This window comes from Homo sapiens, chromosome 3 (genome assembly GCF_000001405.40).
Source record: "Homo sapiens chromosome 3, GRCh38.p14 Primary Assembly".
NCBI lineage: Eukaryota > Metazoa > Chordata > Mammalia > Primates > Hominidae > Homo > Homo sapiens.
Genome location: NC_000003.12, coordinates 146,455,167 through 146,472,389, shown reverse-complemented (window position 1 = coordinate 146,472,389; position 17,223 = coordinate 146,455,167). Strand labels below are relative to the sequence as shown.

The 17,223-nt window shown below is 37.6% G+C and overlaps 1 protein-coding gene across 32 annotated transcripts in view, besides 1 other annotated feature; it reads left to right on the top strand.

The window, feature by feature from the left end:
• PLSCR2 (phospholipid scramblase 2) overlaps positions 1–17,223 on the top strand; it is a 104,572-nt gene that overhangs the window by 23,602 nt on the left and 63,747 nt on the right. For 12 of the 32 annotated variants that reach the window (XR_002959563.2, XR_002959564.2, XR_002959561.2 and 9 more), the window contains exons 2-4: positions 12,307–12,542; positions 13,937–13,979; positions 16,931–17,151. Coding sequence is in view for 21 of the 32 variants with exons in the window: in XM_017006903.3 (XP_016862392.2) it covers positions 12,307–12,542; positions 13,937–13,979; positions 16,931–17,151 (500 nt within the window). In the remaining 11 variants the exon portion in view is untranslated. Of the gene's footprint in view, positions 1–2,828; positions 3,505–8,395; positions 8,556–9,900; positions 10,351–10,433; positions 10,557–12,105; positions 12,219–12,306; positions 12,543–12,871; positions 12,930–13,936; positions 13,980–16,930; positions 17,152–17,223 lie in introns of those variants that run through there. The other 20 variants (NR_172559.1, NR_172560.1, XM_024453673.2 and 17 more) reach the window with 19 other exon arrangements.
• Positions 2,771–2,840: an enhancer, noted in NCBI's record as "active region_20672". NCBI's record gives its function as "activates an Ori minimal core promoter by ATAC-STARR-seq in GM12878 lymphoblastoid cells {active_cell/tissue: GM12878}" and the evidence as "EXISTENCE:reporter gene assay evidence [ECO:0000049][PMID:35858748]".

The window sequence follows — 17,223 nt, the reverse complement described above, 5'->3', positions numbered from 1 at the left end:
TACATGAAAAGAAGTCTAAATGTAAATAGATACTTTCTCAATTTTAATACCTCTTTGAATAATTGATAGATTAATCAAACCAAATATTAGCTAAAGCAACAGCAAAACTAACTGACACAGCCAATTAGAATGAAAATACATGACTTGTACACAACTGCAGAATACACCTATTTCTCGTACAAAATATTTATAAAAATTGGCTGTGAACCAGAAGGTCATAATGTAAGTCTTAAAAATTTCAAATGACTGTAACCATACACAGCATGTGCTTGCACTACAATAAAATTACAAATAATAAAAAGACAACTAGACATTCCCAACTGCTTGGAAATAAGGAATAGACGTAAAGGAAGAAATCATAAAAATGTCCTGGGTACAAGAGGCAGTTTAAAATAAGATTCAAAGACCAGAAGTCAAAATGAAAAAATAAAAGTAAAAATCACTGAAAATAAAAATTTCTGTGTGGTGAAAGCAACCTTAAATAAGTTTCAAGCCAGAGACACAGTAGGCAAAAGAATTGTATCTTGGCCGGGCATGGTGGCTCACGCCTGCAATCCCAGCACTTTGGGAGGCCAAGGTGGGTGGATCTGAGGTGAGGAGTTTGAGACCAGCCTGGCCAACATGGGGAAACCCCATCTCTACTAAAAATACAAAAATTAGCAGGGCATAGTGGCATATGCCTGTAATCCCAGCTACTTGGGAGGCTGAGGCAAGAGAATTTCTTTAACCCGGAGGGTGGAGTGTGCAGTGAGCTGAGATCGTGCCACTGCACTCCAGTCGGGGCAACAGAGTGAAACTCTGTCTCAGAAAAAAAAAAAAAAAAGAATTGTATCTTATTTAACATACCCACAATATATAAAGACCACTAACAAATCAGCAAGAGGGAAAAAAATCCCAATCCAACAACAATAACAAAATGAGCATTATATTTCAGACAAATCACAGAATAAAACTGTAAAATAATTAGTAATCATATGAAAAAGTCCTCAATCTCATTAACAATCAGAATCAACAAACAAAAAATAAGATAATGCTTGCCATTCACAGTAGGAAACATTTAGAATTGGTATTCTAGAATCGAAGAGGTGTGGAAAAATTAGAAATCCCATGACTTATTGGTAAAAGAATAAAATGTTTTTTTTATTGTATACAGAAAGATATGTGCAAAGATGATGACTACAGCACAATTTATAATTGATAAAACTTGGAAACAGTACCTAGATTATTAGATCAATGACACAGTTCTGTATTAGAGGGATAGAGATTTCCAAGATGCACTGTTAGGTGAAAAACACATCAGAGAAGAGCTGTATAAAATAATCCTCTTTATGTAAAAAAAAAACAAAAAAACAAAAACACTGTGTAGCTGTGTATATACTTATTTGTATGTATATAACATTTACTGAGCGCTTACTCTATGGCAAACATCATTCTAAATTCTTTATATATTTTAACTTCCTTAATCATCATAAAAATCCTCTGTGGTAGATACCATTACTACTCTCATTTTACCGATTAGAAAACAGGCAAAGAGATTGTCAAGTAATTTTCACAAGTCACAGGCACAGGAAGTAAAAAAGAAAGAATTCAAACTCAGGTAGCTCGATTTTCCTTCTTCCTTTTTCTATCTTATTTTCTCAATTTCTTTCTCCACCTTCCTCCCTTCCATTCCCTTTTTTCTTCCCTCCCCCCACCTCTCTTAGTGTGTCTTCAAATGTTTGTGTCAACCTTGGTTAGCAGGGTAATCGGGAGAACAGCACCGGGAATGGAGAGGGTGAGGTTTCATTTTTCTCCATATATGGTGTTATTGTTTGGAAGATCATGTGTTTTTGTTTGTTTGTTTGAGACGAGTCTTGCTCTCTCTCCCAGGCTGGAGTGTAGTGGCTGGATCTCGACTCACTGCAACCTCTGCCTTCCGGGTTCAAGCGATTTTTCTCCTGCCTCAGCCTCCCCAGTAGATGGGATTACAGGGGCACACCACCACACCTGGCTCATTTTTGTATTTTTAGTAGAGACGGGGTTTCACCATGTTGTCCAGGCTGGTCTTGAACTCCTGGTCTCAGGTGATCCGCCTGCCTCGGCCTCCCAAAATGCTAGGGTTTCAGGCGTGTAAATAAATTTTTAAAAAATCAGTAGAAACGTCAGTGCAATATGTATTTATTTATTGCATGAGGGTGTGCCAGTTGCAGGCACACCCTGAAAAATCAAAGGCGCGTCCTGAAAAATTAAACATTCTACACGCCTCATCATTTTCACTCTTAACTTAAAAATGCCTTTTGTTGGAAAGAAAAGGGAGAAGGGCAAGGGCTAGAGATAAAATAATCTCGACCGCTCCTCTTTTGTAGTCTAAGCTCCCTCACCTTGAAAAGCTACAGGCTTCTAAGGGATGGAGGTCAAGAGCAGAGTTAAGGAAGTTCCCGGGGTAGGCCACTCCCCGCCTGATGATTTTCCAGTTCCAGCTGGTGTCGACGTCCCAGTTCATCTGTGCCCTTAACCACCGGAGAAACGTTTCCGGAGTCTCTCCAAAGAGCAAAAAAGGGGACGGGGATGGGGAGAGGGAGACGGGACGGGCTGGGCGGCAGCTGCGCGTCGCACACGGCGTGGGGGGGTGGGTGCAGTCGCGCCCCCAGCTCGGCCGCGCTCCAGCAGCAAAGCCGGATCCTCTGAGCCCGCGCAGGGACCAGGGGAGGGAAGCCTTGTTGTACCCTTGGGGTCCAGAAACCTAAACTAGGGGCTGCTGCAGGTGTAGACTCTGAGGCTGGTCCAGGCCCCTTTTCCGCCGACTTCCGGGAGGGCTGTGCAACAGGTGTGCCTGGCAGTCACGGGGCAGACGGGAGGAAGCCACGCTAGGACCTCGGCTCGCTCAGGGCTGTGCGGGAGCAGCTGCAGCCACGGGTAAGGGGGCGGCTTTCTCAGTCGCCTCCCTATGGGACTGGGGTGTGCCTGGCTAGTGGGGACGATGCTCCGCCCCATAATTGTGTTTGCGTCAGAGGGCGGGGCAAGGGCCCAATGGGCCGCGGGAAGCGACACCTGAAGTGGAACGGAAACTCGGCAAGGGGCCCCAGGCGGCCCAGCTGTACCCTGGCTCACACCAGAACCGTTCGAATGACAAGGGGTGTCCTGCCTGAAAACGCCTTGCGGGGCTCAGCTTCCCCTTAGCTACACTGCTTTACAGGTAGAGAGCGGCCCTGAATCCTGGGCAGAGTCTGGGCTCAGGAGCATGTGCCAGCATAGTGGGGCTATTAGAAGGGACGGTTAATACAGCCTGCAAGCTGTCATTTATCAGTAAGTATTCAATGAAGTCCGCCAGGAGCCCACGTCTATGCTAGGCCCTCTACAATACCAGCTTAGGAAAGATAGTGGCGGTATGTAGCGCGGTTCCTAAGACCATTAGCTCCAGTCAGGCTCCCCGACTTTAAATTCGGCCTCTACTGCTTCACATCTGTGGACTGTCAGCCACTTTCTTCATATATGTTCTTTCCATTGCCTCATTTCTGAAATTGTGTAAGTATTAAATGAGCTACAGAGTATTACACTGAAATTTGGCACATTGGGAGAATGTGAGATTTTTTGTTTGTTTTTCAACGAAATAGGAACATAAATGCAACGGACATGAATCATGAATAATTTCAATTCAGCTAGTTACTGAGCTGTACAGCATTAAGTAAACATTTTATCTTTATGGGCTTAGTTTTCTCATTTATAAAGAAGAAAGGAAAACTCCTATTTGTGAGGGAGGTCTGGGTTGTTAGGAAAGGTTTTTGAGCAGTAATTAATGTGTGTTAATGTAAAGTTCTTAGAGCAGTGCCTGGCACTACAGAAAGTACTCAGTGAAAGTTAGCGTTTATTATTTTAAATATTTGACAAAGTCCCTGCCTCTCCAAGCTGACTCTCTGGTTCCCATGTGGTTTCATTCATTCACTGTTATTTCTGGAAGTCTTGGCATGGCCACTTGCCAGTTGCAGGAACAGGCAGTCGTTGTTTCTTCCCGCTTATGACACTGAGATACATGGTTAGTACCAGTGACACTTAGAAGTGTCAGGCGGTTTGGGGGCTCCTTTCTTTCTTGAACTTTTCCTAAGAGCAAACCTTTCTCTTATTGCCACCCTGATGTTTACAATAGAAGGGTTTTGAGCAATGAACAAGCACAAGGAAATGAAAAACACATACAAAGGAAAATGAGTGGATTGCTGCAGTTGGATAGACAAGTGTAAAATACCTGGGTCTCACTGTACATGAAGCAGCCTTCAGATCTGTAAGGGAACTATTCTTACTGACTGAAAAGAGCAAAATAATACTGTACACTCATTGTTGAATTAACAAACACAGATTAAGTGGCTTGTCTTGGATAAGACAAACCAAGCTCTGGCCTTTGAGGTCTTAAAGTGCAGGTAGAGCGACTTTAAACATTTGTGAACTGGCCCTTGTGCACCTTTCCATCCTCATCTCTAAGGGTCTGTCCATCTTTGGCTCTGTAATTTCATAAATTTTCATTTCCCGAATAAGCCCAGTTTCCTGCAGCTTAGGACTTCTACTAGTGAGCTTCCCTCTGTCTATAATGCCCTACCACGCCCCTCATACATCCCTATGGCCTGGCTGATTCTAGACTTTTTTCAACTCTCCGCTCTGACTTTCCTGACAATGCCACCACTACTCCAACTAAATCAATGACTCCATATCCTTTTTATTGTACCATTATTTGTATTCATAGTGCTTAATGTATTTGTATATGTACAAATACATTTGTATTGTTATATATGTGTTATCCATAATATATTTATAATAAATTTAATTAATATAATGTGCTGGAATATATTTAATTTTATTAACTGCCTGACTCCTCCATTTTTTAGTGCCTGTACAGTGCCTTTCATGCTCTATGCCTTTGGTTAAGATTCCTTGAATATTAATCAAATGGTAGTAATTAGATGGTAACCAAATCTTTTAAGTGCATAAAATTTACATATCATGTAAATATATTATTCAACTAGATTAATATTCAAGGGAGGTCTGGGTTGTTGGGAAAAGTTTTTGAGCAGTGATAAAGCAATCAAATGAGAATAACTGACTTTAAGACTCATTTTTGTTTCTTTTGTCTCCTTGGTTTACTTGTTAGTTTTGTAGAACACTTTACTACTACAATTTCAGTTGGGTCTAGTTGATCAATATTCCTTGAAAAACAAAATAAGCTTTATGTTAAGTGAGTATTTATGTACTTATACATTTATACATGTGTACATATATGTGGATATATGTATGTACACATATGTGTACCTGTACACACACTCTATAGCACTGCCTTGAACAGTGCTAAATTTAAAAGCCAAAGCACTTTAGTTAATCAGTAGTAACAACTGTGCTTTTCATTTCCCAAAATTTGTTGTTAAAAACTGCTTTTAAAAAAGTTTTGCCTATCCTAGTTAAAAACTAATTGATCATGAGACTAAATTGAAATTCAAGATATTTCTATCTTACGTAAGAAAGATACCTTAAAGATAACCTCTAACAACTTTCACTGAAATTTGGCACATTGGGAGAATGTGGGGTTTTTTGTTTGTTTTTTATTCAATGAAATAGGAACATGAATGCAATGGACATGAATCATGAATAATTTCAATTCAGCTAGTTACTGAGCTGTACAGCATTAAGTAAACACTTTATCTTTATGGGCTTAGTTTTCTCATTTATGAAGAAGAAAGGAAAACTCCCATTTGTGAGGGAGGTCTGGGTTGTTAGAAAAGGTTTTTGAGCAGTAATAAAGCAATCAAATGAGAATAACTGACTTTAAGACTCATTTTTGTTGCTTTTGTCTCCTTGGTTTACTTGTTAGTTTTGTAGAACACTTTACTACTACAATTTCAGTTGGGTCTAGTTGATATATTATCTACATTTTAATTCAAGGTTTAATATACAATTCTATAGGCCAGGTGTGGTGGTCCACACCTGTAATCCCAGCGCTTTGGGAGGCTGAGGTGGGCAGATAACGAGACTAGGAGTTTGACACCAGCCTGGCCAACATGGGAAAATCCCGTTTCTACTAAGAATACAAAAATTACCCAGGTGTGGGGGCATATGCCTGTAATCTCAGCTATGCTGGTGGCTGAGGCACGAGAATTGCTTGAACCTAGGAGGCAGAGGTTGCAGAGCTGAGATCGTGCCACTGGCCTCCAGCCTGGGCAACAGAGCAAGACTCTGTCTCAATAAAACCAAAAGACAAACAAACAAACAAAACTGTAAAAGCCTATCTTACATTGGTTCTAAGCATATGTGTTTTGTTTTCTTGAGCCTAGATGCTGAAGTGGATTTTTATAGTAAAACTCCCGGTTACAAGGTGCTTTGCATTAATAACTGGCCTCAGTCACCCTACTTCAATCTCATACCTCACAGATATGGTGTGCTTTGTACTCAAAGGCTCACCATCTTCTTGCCCCACACATGTGTAAAAATGCATCTGTGCTTGCTCTGCTTTACTTTGACTGAAACCACAATTCAAGGGATGAAATGTTTGTCTTCTTAGATGGTAACCAAATCTTTTAAGTGCATAAAATTTACATATCATGTAACTGAATGATGTGAAAGCTATTTAATTTGTGAGTTACCTCAATAAATGTTGCCTTCTCCCTGGGCTATTCACAGTTCCCCTCTGGCATAGCATAATGTCTCATTCTTACTTATTGGTAGGAAGTTAGGCACCTAGAATTCTTGTGATTGTTTTCAGAATGGTAGAATTTTGCTAAAATAATTCAGAACCTATGTCTCTGCTTGGGGCTTGAGAAGAATATGAACTGTTTTATATTGTGATTTTTTTTTTTTTTTTGTGGAGGGTGAGTGTGGCGGGAGAGAGTTGTTCTTAGGCATAACTAGGTTTAGGTTATTAATCTGAATTTATTTGTTAATTGTCTATGTTAAAGGCATAGTAATTTTAGGATCTTCCAGAATTAAGTATGATTTCCCTGTGAGTTCCAGGTTTTACTTTAGTTATGTTTGAAAGCAGTAAAACAAAAAATTTTCAGGACCTTAAGAAATAGGTCAAAAGGCTTTAGCTGTGTCAAAAGATAAATTACAACAAATTTAAAGATGTAATTAGCTTATATTAGGAATTCATGAATATGACAGCATCTTATCTAAAAATAGAGAGATGCTACATGCGGCATTGCAGAATAGTCAGTTTTTATAAGGTACCTTGAGCAGGAATGAGGAAATAGCATAATACAAAAAGTGGATTAGTTAACGGTAGATTAGTTCAGGTTACTCTCTTTATAAGGACTAAAGTAGTGGGAACTTCTTTATTATGCAGGCTAAAACTGGCCTGTTTGGAGTCTGGGCTTTCATTTCTCTCCTGATTTCTTGGAAGGTTAAATAAACAACTTAGTTTCAGTTTGGTAATGTGGAACTTTAGCATTAGTTACTCCATTTTGATTTGATCTGTTGAAGCCTAGTGCAGGAGGTCAAACCAAATGGATGTCCTCCTATACAGCTGTTAATATTTAACAACTGTAATATAAATTATGAAGTCAGAACTGGAAATCCTCTGTGCTATTTCTCCCTCTCCCTGAGTGCAGAAGTTTATAATTATCAAATAGTCCAGAGCAGCAATGAAGACATGATTTCTGATATAATTACTTTAAAAGAGATGTACTAATGTGTATATAGTATATGCTGCCTCAATTTACTCCAAATTTATCACTTAACAGAGAGTTAGAAAGAAGTGTGTAGTAATCAGATTGTAACTTGAAGTTCTGTGTTTGTTTTGGAGTAACTATAATTCAAATGGTATAATATATAATATGACTTTATTACAAACTTTTGCTTTGTTTTAGTACAGCATAAAAATATGATTTTCTCTTTCTCTGAAGTTATTTCTAGAATTTACTTTTTAGTAAGAGTGGTGGAAGCAATGATTTAAAGTTATCATGTTAGATTAACTAGCTAATTTAGTCAGGACACAGCCCAATCATGTCCTAAACTGAGTCATGTTATTTCTTGGAATAGACTCATCATATTAGTCAGAATTCTCTAAAGAAACAGAGCAGTAGGATGTAGACATATATATATGAAGAGATGTATTATAAGAAATTGGCTCATGCAATTTTGTATGCTGAAAAGTCCCACCACATTAGAAGTCTGTAAACTGGAGACCAGGAAAGCTAGTGGTCTACCCTAGTTAGTCTAGTTACCCTAGTTAGTCTACCCTAGTTACACATGTTTACTAGCTTATTGTTCACCTTATAGATTAACTGCAGAAAAATGTAAGTTTTAATATTTCTACTCTTCTGACTTGATGAGGTCCACAGCATTGATTTCTGACCAGTTAATGCAAACTGGATTCCGATTGTTCTAAGAAAATCCGGGAAGTTAAATCAGTAACACAAATACATCTTTTGATTTATTTCAGGGCCAAATAAACCCACTTGGAATTATTCAACCTTTGCTGAACTTCTTGAGTAGATGTAACTAAGAGGTGACTATAATTGGAGAATTCTTAAGAGTTTCACTATATTATGAAAATGTGTGCTTAAAGTTGGTAATCATAAAAAATAATTTTGAAATGGCAGGTAAGGAGGTGGTTTCTTCTTGAGAATTCTAGATTTTAGTTGAGGATGTGGAGGGATCAGTTGACTTATTTACCACTTAGGATTGCACAGTAGGAGGAGTTGGTAAAAGGGAAGCCAACACTGGAGTGGGCCTGAGAAGTGGGAGGGCAGTTTGTATTAGCGTGCATGGGTCCAAGATAAAAATTTTGGGTAATGGAGTTTTTGCCCGATGTGTTCATTGTAATTAACAGTCATGAAAAGCACTGGGATCTACAGTAGATGGAGAAAACAGTGACTGGATAGCAGTGGGAAAGACTAGGATGGGGTCAAGGCATCAGAAGGCAGAATTACTGAGTAGAATATTTGCTGTCATTTATGTTTCTGTAGAAATACCAAGTATAGGCAGGGCGCGGTGGCTCACGCCTGTAATCCCAGCACTTTGGGAGGCCGACGCGGGCAGATCACGAGGTCAGGAGATCAAGAACATCCTGGCTAACATGGACAAAAAAAATTATTCCGGGCGTGGTGGCGGGTGCCTGTAGTCCCAGCTACTCCGGAGTCCGAGACAGGAGAATGGCGTGAATCTGGGAGGCGGAGCTTGCAGTGAGCCCAGATCTCGCCACTGCACTCCGACAGAGCGAGACTCCGTCTCAAAAAAGAAAAAAAAGAAATACCAAGTACAAAGTTTCACTTGGTGGTCAGGATGCTATGGCTGTGACAGCTCCTGAGAGTGGGTTCTCTGGTAAAAAATAAATAAATAAATACATCTCTTAATGAACAGAGTAGTGTCAGAACTTCTCAAATTTGCTGGTCAGGATTGGCATGACAGGGCCACAGGACCTGAAATTTTCCGAGATAATTGCAGTGGTGTGATCTGATAATTAACCTTTCTTGCTCTTTAGCTGAACCATTCCTGGAGCCCAAGCCCAGAGGCTTGGAAATAAACCACACACTTCATTTAGATTGTGCAGGTTGTGAAGGCTGAAGTTTTAGCTCAATTACCCTTTGGGGTCTTAGCTCGCAGCATTTCTTCATGGCTTTCCTCCTGATTAGACCTTCTTCCTAAAGGCTTTTGGAAAGTGTTCACCATCGGCCGAGCGCAGTGACTCACGACTATAATCCCAGCACTTTGGGAGGCCGCAGTGGGCAGATCACGAGGTCAGGAGTTCAAGACCAGCCTGGCCAACATGGTGAAACCCCGTCTCTACTAAAAAATACAAAAATTAGCTGGGTATGGTGGCGTGTGCCTGTAATCCCAGCTACTCGGGAGGCTGAGGCACGAGAATCGCTTGAACGCAGGAGGCAGAGGTTGCAGGGAGCCAAGATCATGCCACACTACACTCCAGCTTGGTGACAGAGGGAGACTCCATCTCCAAAAAAAAAAAAAGAAAGAAAAGAAAAGAAAAAGAAAAAAGAAAGTGTTCATCGTCGTGGGCTGACCAACAATTTCTAAATTCCTACCAAGGCCACATGCAGCGGTTTATGCCTGTAATCCCAAGACTTTGGGAGGGCGAGACAGGAGGATCGCTTGAGTCCAGGAGTTTGAGACCAGCCTGGGCAACATAATGAGACCTTGTCTCCATAGAAAATAATAATCAATTCTACTGTGAAAACAGGAAGGGGAATGAGGTCAAGCCCAAAGGATTTAAATGGCCAGATAAGGCTCTACTAGATGAATAAAGAGAAATATCCCATGAATGTGACTGTATTGTTTTAGAATATCTTGTTCCAACAGTTGTATTGGACCTACAAATGTATAGACAGCATATTAATATCAGGTCTCTTTCAGAACTATTTCAATCCATGAACAATAAAAGTAAGTAATTTACTAAGTGTTTAATTTCCTCCCTATAATACTAAATGTGTTGTTGACTTGTTCTTTGTCATTTTTTTTTTTAGCTTATGAAAGGATATTATTTGTAGCTGTGTTTTCCCTTGTAAATTCCAGTACTGGGCACTCCTGAAAACTTCGCAAGATATATATGAGATCATGGAACTCACTCTTCTGCTTAAATTCCTCCAGTAATTATCAATGACACCTGGGATAAAATCCAAACTCCTTACTAAGGGTCTCCCTAGATGAACTTCTTCCTATTGCTTTGGTGACAACCATGCATACTCCTCCTTTCTTATGACTCTCCTCTCTCACGAACATGCTAAATTCCTTACAGAGTCAGCGTTTTTACATTTGCTTTTCCTTCCTCCTATAGCATTTCTCGGTAGATCGTCACGTAAAATTTTCCCCTTCTCATCTTTTCGATTTCAACATAAATTATATCCATCTAAAGTAACTTACTTATCCTCTGTCCTTTCTCCCATGTTTTCCCCATCATACCAATATGAAGTCTTTTATAAAAAATTATTTTATTTCTTCCAGAAGTTAACTGTAAGCTCATTGACAGCATATTGACTTTTTGATAGCTGTATCCCCTGATTCCACAACAGAGCCAATCACGAGTCATCTATATTCATTAATCGTAGGAGGAATAAATTATAAAAGCTATATTTACAGTGCATTAGTACTAGGTTAAATTGTTTGCTAACCCTTATTTTTTATTAGTATATGAGCCTGTCACCAGTGTTCCACTTAAATGTATTGCCTATTCTAAGTATTATATTTTATGTGGCATTAAGTATTTATTTAAAATATTGAGGAACATAGTCCCTTGAAATTATTTTTCATTCCTATGGAATCACTACACTGCGGACTATACAAATAAGCTTATGAAGCATCATTGCAATGTACATTTACATGTAATATAAAGATTATACTTATTAAATTTCTTCCTCTATTCTGCTACTTTAGAATTTTTCATCTGTTAAATATTTTGCTTTTCTTCCTCAAACTCTGTTGATTTTTTTACTTTTGTTTTGTTTAATTTTCTCAAATTATGTGTTCTAAAGATCTAAGAGTGACAAATTGTGAAATTTAATTTTGTAACCGCAATATCATAATTGATGTTTTAAGAACAATATCAAGGGAAACAGGAGAGGAACACGCTGTAGATTAAAACTCCTCGTAACCCATTGGCCCAGACAAGCATCTGAAAAGTACTAGGAGGGACGACATGATTTTACATCTATATTAGGGTTTCTCAACACTGTAGTATTTTGGGGTGGATAATTATTTGTTTTCAGGAGGATGTTCTGGGCATTTTAGGATGTTTAGCGGCATCCCTGGCTTCTATCAACCAGCTGACAATATCAGTCTCTCCTCCAGTTGCGACAACTAAAAATGGATCCAAACCTTGACAGATACCCCTTCAGGGGTCAACCCCATCTCCCCATTGACTTCTATACATATAGGATATGTCATTTGTTATAATTCCACAATTAAAATTTTTCACAGGGTGCCTTTGGCTCTGGGAATGCTGACACATAGCCATTATTTTTGGCTTTTTTTTTTTTTTTTCCAATTTCATCTCTCTTTTCCATGAAGGCATGCCACAATCTTCATATAGATCACTTTAGATCATGGTGGGTTTACTTTCACTTTCACAGGTATAAAAGCATATTTTCTATCTGAGTTTTACATAGTAAAAGTAAAGCTCTAGGCCGACTCTATTCACAGTGAACCACCCTCAAAATAGAAGTGAATGTGAAACCACAGATATTTCATTAAAACATATCTGAAGATAAAAACATACCTCAAGCTTCACAGATATAGGACTTCTGAGCTGAGAGGTCAGTTTGTAGATAACTGGGGTTATTCTAAAAAGGATTGATGACTTTTCTGGGCAGCTACAAATTATTTTACTTGCTCCTATTTCAGGACCTCCCGGACATATTGTCTACCCTAAGCACCAGGCTGGACACACTGGGAAACAGGCTGACCACCTGGGCTCCCAGGCCTTCTACCCAGGACGTCAGCATGACTACCTAGTCCCACCTGCTGGCACAGCTGGCATTCCTGTTCAAAATCAGCCAGGTAGACCTGAAGGGGTACCATGGATGCCAGCACCACCACCACCATTAAACTGTCCGCCAGGATTGGAATACTTAAGTCAGGTAATTTCAAATACGTAAAATACTCAGAAAAAAAAAAAAACTCTCTTTCTGGTTTATGAACCATAGTAATTATGGTTAAGTGATACTTATTTATTTACTGCTTATTAATTAATTAAAGTCAGAAATGGTAAACAGCACATTCTGTTAACAAATCACTAGTTCTTTTGGGTTCGATTCATTGTTAAATCAAAATATGAATGTCACAGGTGATTGTTTTCTATGATCTTTTATATAATGTGATAATAGTCCAAAGTAAACATTTATTAGGCACTATTTTCTAGGTTTTGTTCTAAGCATAATACATGTATTACCTCACTTAATCTTTACAGAATCCCTATGATGTATAAGCGTTGTAATCATCACTACTCTACACAAGAGGAAACTGAGGTCCAGAGCAGTTATATAAATTACCAAGGATTAAAAACCTAATGAACTGGGGGTACACTGTTCATCACCACCCTGATTCTGGATTCTGCGCTTTTTAATTCCAATACTGAATAATTTTCTTGACACTTAAAAGACATGTAAAGTTTAGAGTTGAGTTTTAGTAAGCAGTACCAAAAATGACTTAATATTTTTGTGTGGGATTTGACTCATTTTTTCTTACAATTAGTAAAATTACATTTTTATGATGCTTTTTTCCTTTGGAAGACCCAATTTTACAAATGTCGCCAATAAGGAAAAAAAATGTCCTGGATTTTGCTGTACTACATGATAGTTTACCTCAGCAAAGTGAGGTTTAATGTTTGTTTTGTCTTAGAGATCAGATTGGTAAAATAGGAATATAAAGTTTTATATCTCCAATCTATAAACAAATATTTCTATGATAGTCAATGAGTTTTCAGTAAATGAATTATCTCTCTTGTACTCTTTATAATAACTTAATTTTCCACAATGCACTTGCACAGTGAATATTATAAGAATGTTTAGTAGTTCATATTTCTCCAAGAAATGCCCTACAGTTTTTTTAATCAGTCTCAAAAATATATAGAAGAAATTATCACTTACTACAAAATGATTATATGAAGTAGATGTAAAATGAATAACTGAGACTTACAGTAAAAGCTTATTTAAATCAATAAAAAATGTCTTTATATGTTTAAGCCTCATTTAGGAAGAACATTGTTTTCTAACTTTTATAGGGATTCCACTATATTAGTTTATTTTACCTAAATTTACAACTATAATAGTGAATGCTTTCAATAAACATACAGCATTTTTAATTAAAAATATGTTAACTTTAGTTTTACAATAAAAGGTAGCAAACTTATTAAAATTTGATATTGATAAATGTCGATAACTGATTATATGCAGTATTAAATAAAAACATGAATAGTAATTAGTTCTCTATAAAATATTTGACATACAACTTCATTTTCTTTTTACTATAATAGATAGATATGATACTAATTCATCAGCAAATTGAACTTCTGGAAGGTATGTATTAATTGTATTGCTCATAGTTCTAAAAAGAGAAGAAGTTTATGCAAATAAAGATACATCAAAAACTATAAATATAGCATTCCGAGTGATGTGGGATGGTAAAACTGACTATTTACGAATGTCTGTCTTTACAATAATGAAATCAGTAGTCTATTTCTGAACATCAGAAGTGAAATGGTAAAATACAGTTGGCCCTTCCTATCCGTGGGTTCTACCTGTGTGAATTAAATCAACCATGGATCAAAAACATATTTTTAGAAATTGTACCTGTACCGAGCATTTGCAGACTTCTTTTTCCTTGTCACTATTTCCTAAGCAGTACAATGTAACAACTCTTTACATAGCATTTACCTTGTGTTTGTGTATTATAAGTAATCTAGAGATGATTTAAATAATACGGGAGGAGGTTCATAAGTTCTATACAAACACCACGCCATTTTATATCAGGGACTTGAGTAGCCTAGGATTTTGGTATTCACAGGAAGTCCTAGAACCAATCTCCTACAAATACTGTGGGATGACTGCACTATTATGATAAGCATCTGTCCTAATGTTATAAACTCTAATGTAGAAGGAATACAGCCAAGACTTACTTTTGCTCTCTTTTGCAAATAACATTAAGGGATTCACTCACTTTACCTGACTTCTACCACTTCAGCTCTTTTCTCTCCAATTTGTGATCACCTTTAGAATGGCACAGAGCCACATCCAATATTTTAGTTACCTTAGTACATTTCCAAGTGAGTAAACTTTTTGAATTTGGATGGGAGTGTTTTGGAAAATTGCTGTTCCTTCCCACAGTTTCTCTTGGGAGTTTGGATGAACCCAGTAGAATCTTTGTTCCACGTGCTGTAGATTACTAGCCAGGGTGCAGGGGCACTGCAGTGTTGGAGGATGCTGACCAGCAGGCCTCCAGCCTGGCTTCTTAGAAGAGCACTCCTGCTCCTGCTGAATGTTCCTGATGCCACCAGTTATGTTCTTAGGTCCAGTGCTTCCTAGGTGCAAGAATAAATTTAGTAAGCCTCTAGATGCTTCAGAACAGCTGCCAGGGGAATGAGAGCCTAGGTAGAGTTATGAACCACAGCGTCTTCCTTCTGATATAATAAAGTTACTTCTTCTATTTATTATAAAAACTGCTGGTTTTTAGAATATATCTGTTATAATAAATTCATTTTTGCATACTGCAGTTTCTTTAACTCGTTGAAATTATAACTTGAATTGTACAAGCAGAGTAATGAATTTCATTAACATATACAATTGTTACCTATTACATTTAAACTGCTTTTAAAGTACGTGATTAGATATTTATAATGTTCTCGGTTTTTTGTAGTTTGGCTAAATTAAGTTTGCTCTGGAAAGGAGCACTTTGTTCTGTAATAATTTGTATTCTGAATTATTTAAAATGTTTTATTTTATGGAATATATAATTAAGATTATAAAATCCAAAAGGCCAGACACTATACATTATACAACATTATATTTATATTTTTTAGATTTATAAGCTTTACATATATTTGCACAATATATGTGCTTCATTGAAAAATACGAAGTTCCACATTTACCAGTTTTTAATTTTTTAAAAAAGACATTTTTAATTTTCTTTTCTTTTTTTCTCAAATTGAAAGTCTATATTGTTTGCTAACATCGAGGCATATAAAAAGATGATTACTCAGTTTATTTTTAGCACCTGAGACTATGACAAATACTTATACCTTACCACGACTGAAAAGTTAATAGATGCTAAAAATATAATTGTTGCAATCTTTTGTTTTGTCTCCATTTTTCAAGTAACTTGAAGGAAACTTCAAGATTTTGTAACCCCATTGATGTCATTTTATAGATAAACAGCTTAAGATTTTCGCAAGTAAGTTACATAATTAAACAATTAGTTGGATAATAGATGACCACAGAGGAATCAATTTTTTTATATTCGATTTTAAATTTTTTCACAAACTTTTGTCTACAGCAGATGTTGAGGTCAAGTGCAGTTCCTATATAGGCAGAGTCCAGGCCTTGTTTGAGTCCCACCGTAGACTCTTAAGGAAGTTTATGGTAATAGGACTTGTGAGAAACATTTCTGTATGATGTCCTTCTGTGGATAGTGGGACAATTCATTGCTCCTTCATGGCTTTAAACAAGGAGAGGTTTCCAATGTGTGGTTCAATATGGAAGTCCTTGGTAAGATACCATGTGAGCATCAGCATTTTGCATTCCTCTGTTTTCCTCATGAAGAGGTTAGCCTATCTAAGGTGCAGAGCTCACTTAGGATGCTCGTGGTCTAGATATTCTGAGTTGAAGCCCTGATTGCCAAGCACCTTCCCCATTTGTTTAATATTCATCTCTTACTTTCAAATTACTGCTGAGCTAAATAAGGGTGCCCTGAGTCCGATGTGATCTTCTAATTTCCTTCCATTTTTGCCTCTCACTTTTTATGCACGTGCCTTGAGAGTTAGCCCTCTTACTGCCTTTCACCAAACAGTGCAAACAAAGAAGACATAAGTATGACTTACAAAAGGAAATCTTAAACCAATTGATTTAATATAGTATTTTTTGCAATCATCCTATATTCCTCTCCATAATATATGAAAACTATACCAAATAAATGGACATTTTATCCATACACCTAGCACCACTGTGCTTACTGGCAGCATTGCCCCAACCCTCAGCAGCAAAGTCTCTCTTCTCACAGGAGCCTATGGGATTAGGAAAATATGACCTGCTTTGTTTTCCATATCTCACATAAGGAATCAATTTCTCCATGCATTAATAGCCTAACTTCCTCTTTTTCCTTTGCCTTTTTCCTCTGCCTGATCAACTCTAAATACCATTCCTTTTTGTTCTTTCTATGATACTTGGAGCATCATCTAAAACTAGCTAGATATAATATCTTAAGATAGGTTCAATCATTTTAACGTAAAGGCAACTGATTTTATTTTCATTTTTAGTTCTATTCAGTTTTGAAAGTAGTAACATGTATGAAATCAAGAACAGCTTTGGGCAGAGGATTTATTTTGCAGCAGAAGATACTAATTTCTGTATCCGAAATTGCTGTGGGCGGTCTAGACCTTTTACCTTGAGGATTACTGATAATGTGGGTCGAGAAGTCATAACTCTGGAAAGACCACTAAGATGTAACTGTTGTTGTTGCCCCTGCTGCCTTCAGGAGGTATGTGAGCAATTACTAGAGCTTTTCATAAAGTAGTTCAGCAAGGATTTCCACCCTTTTATTGAATCTGTA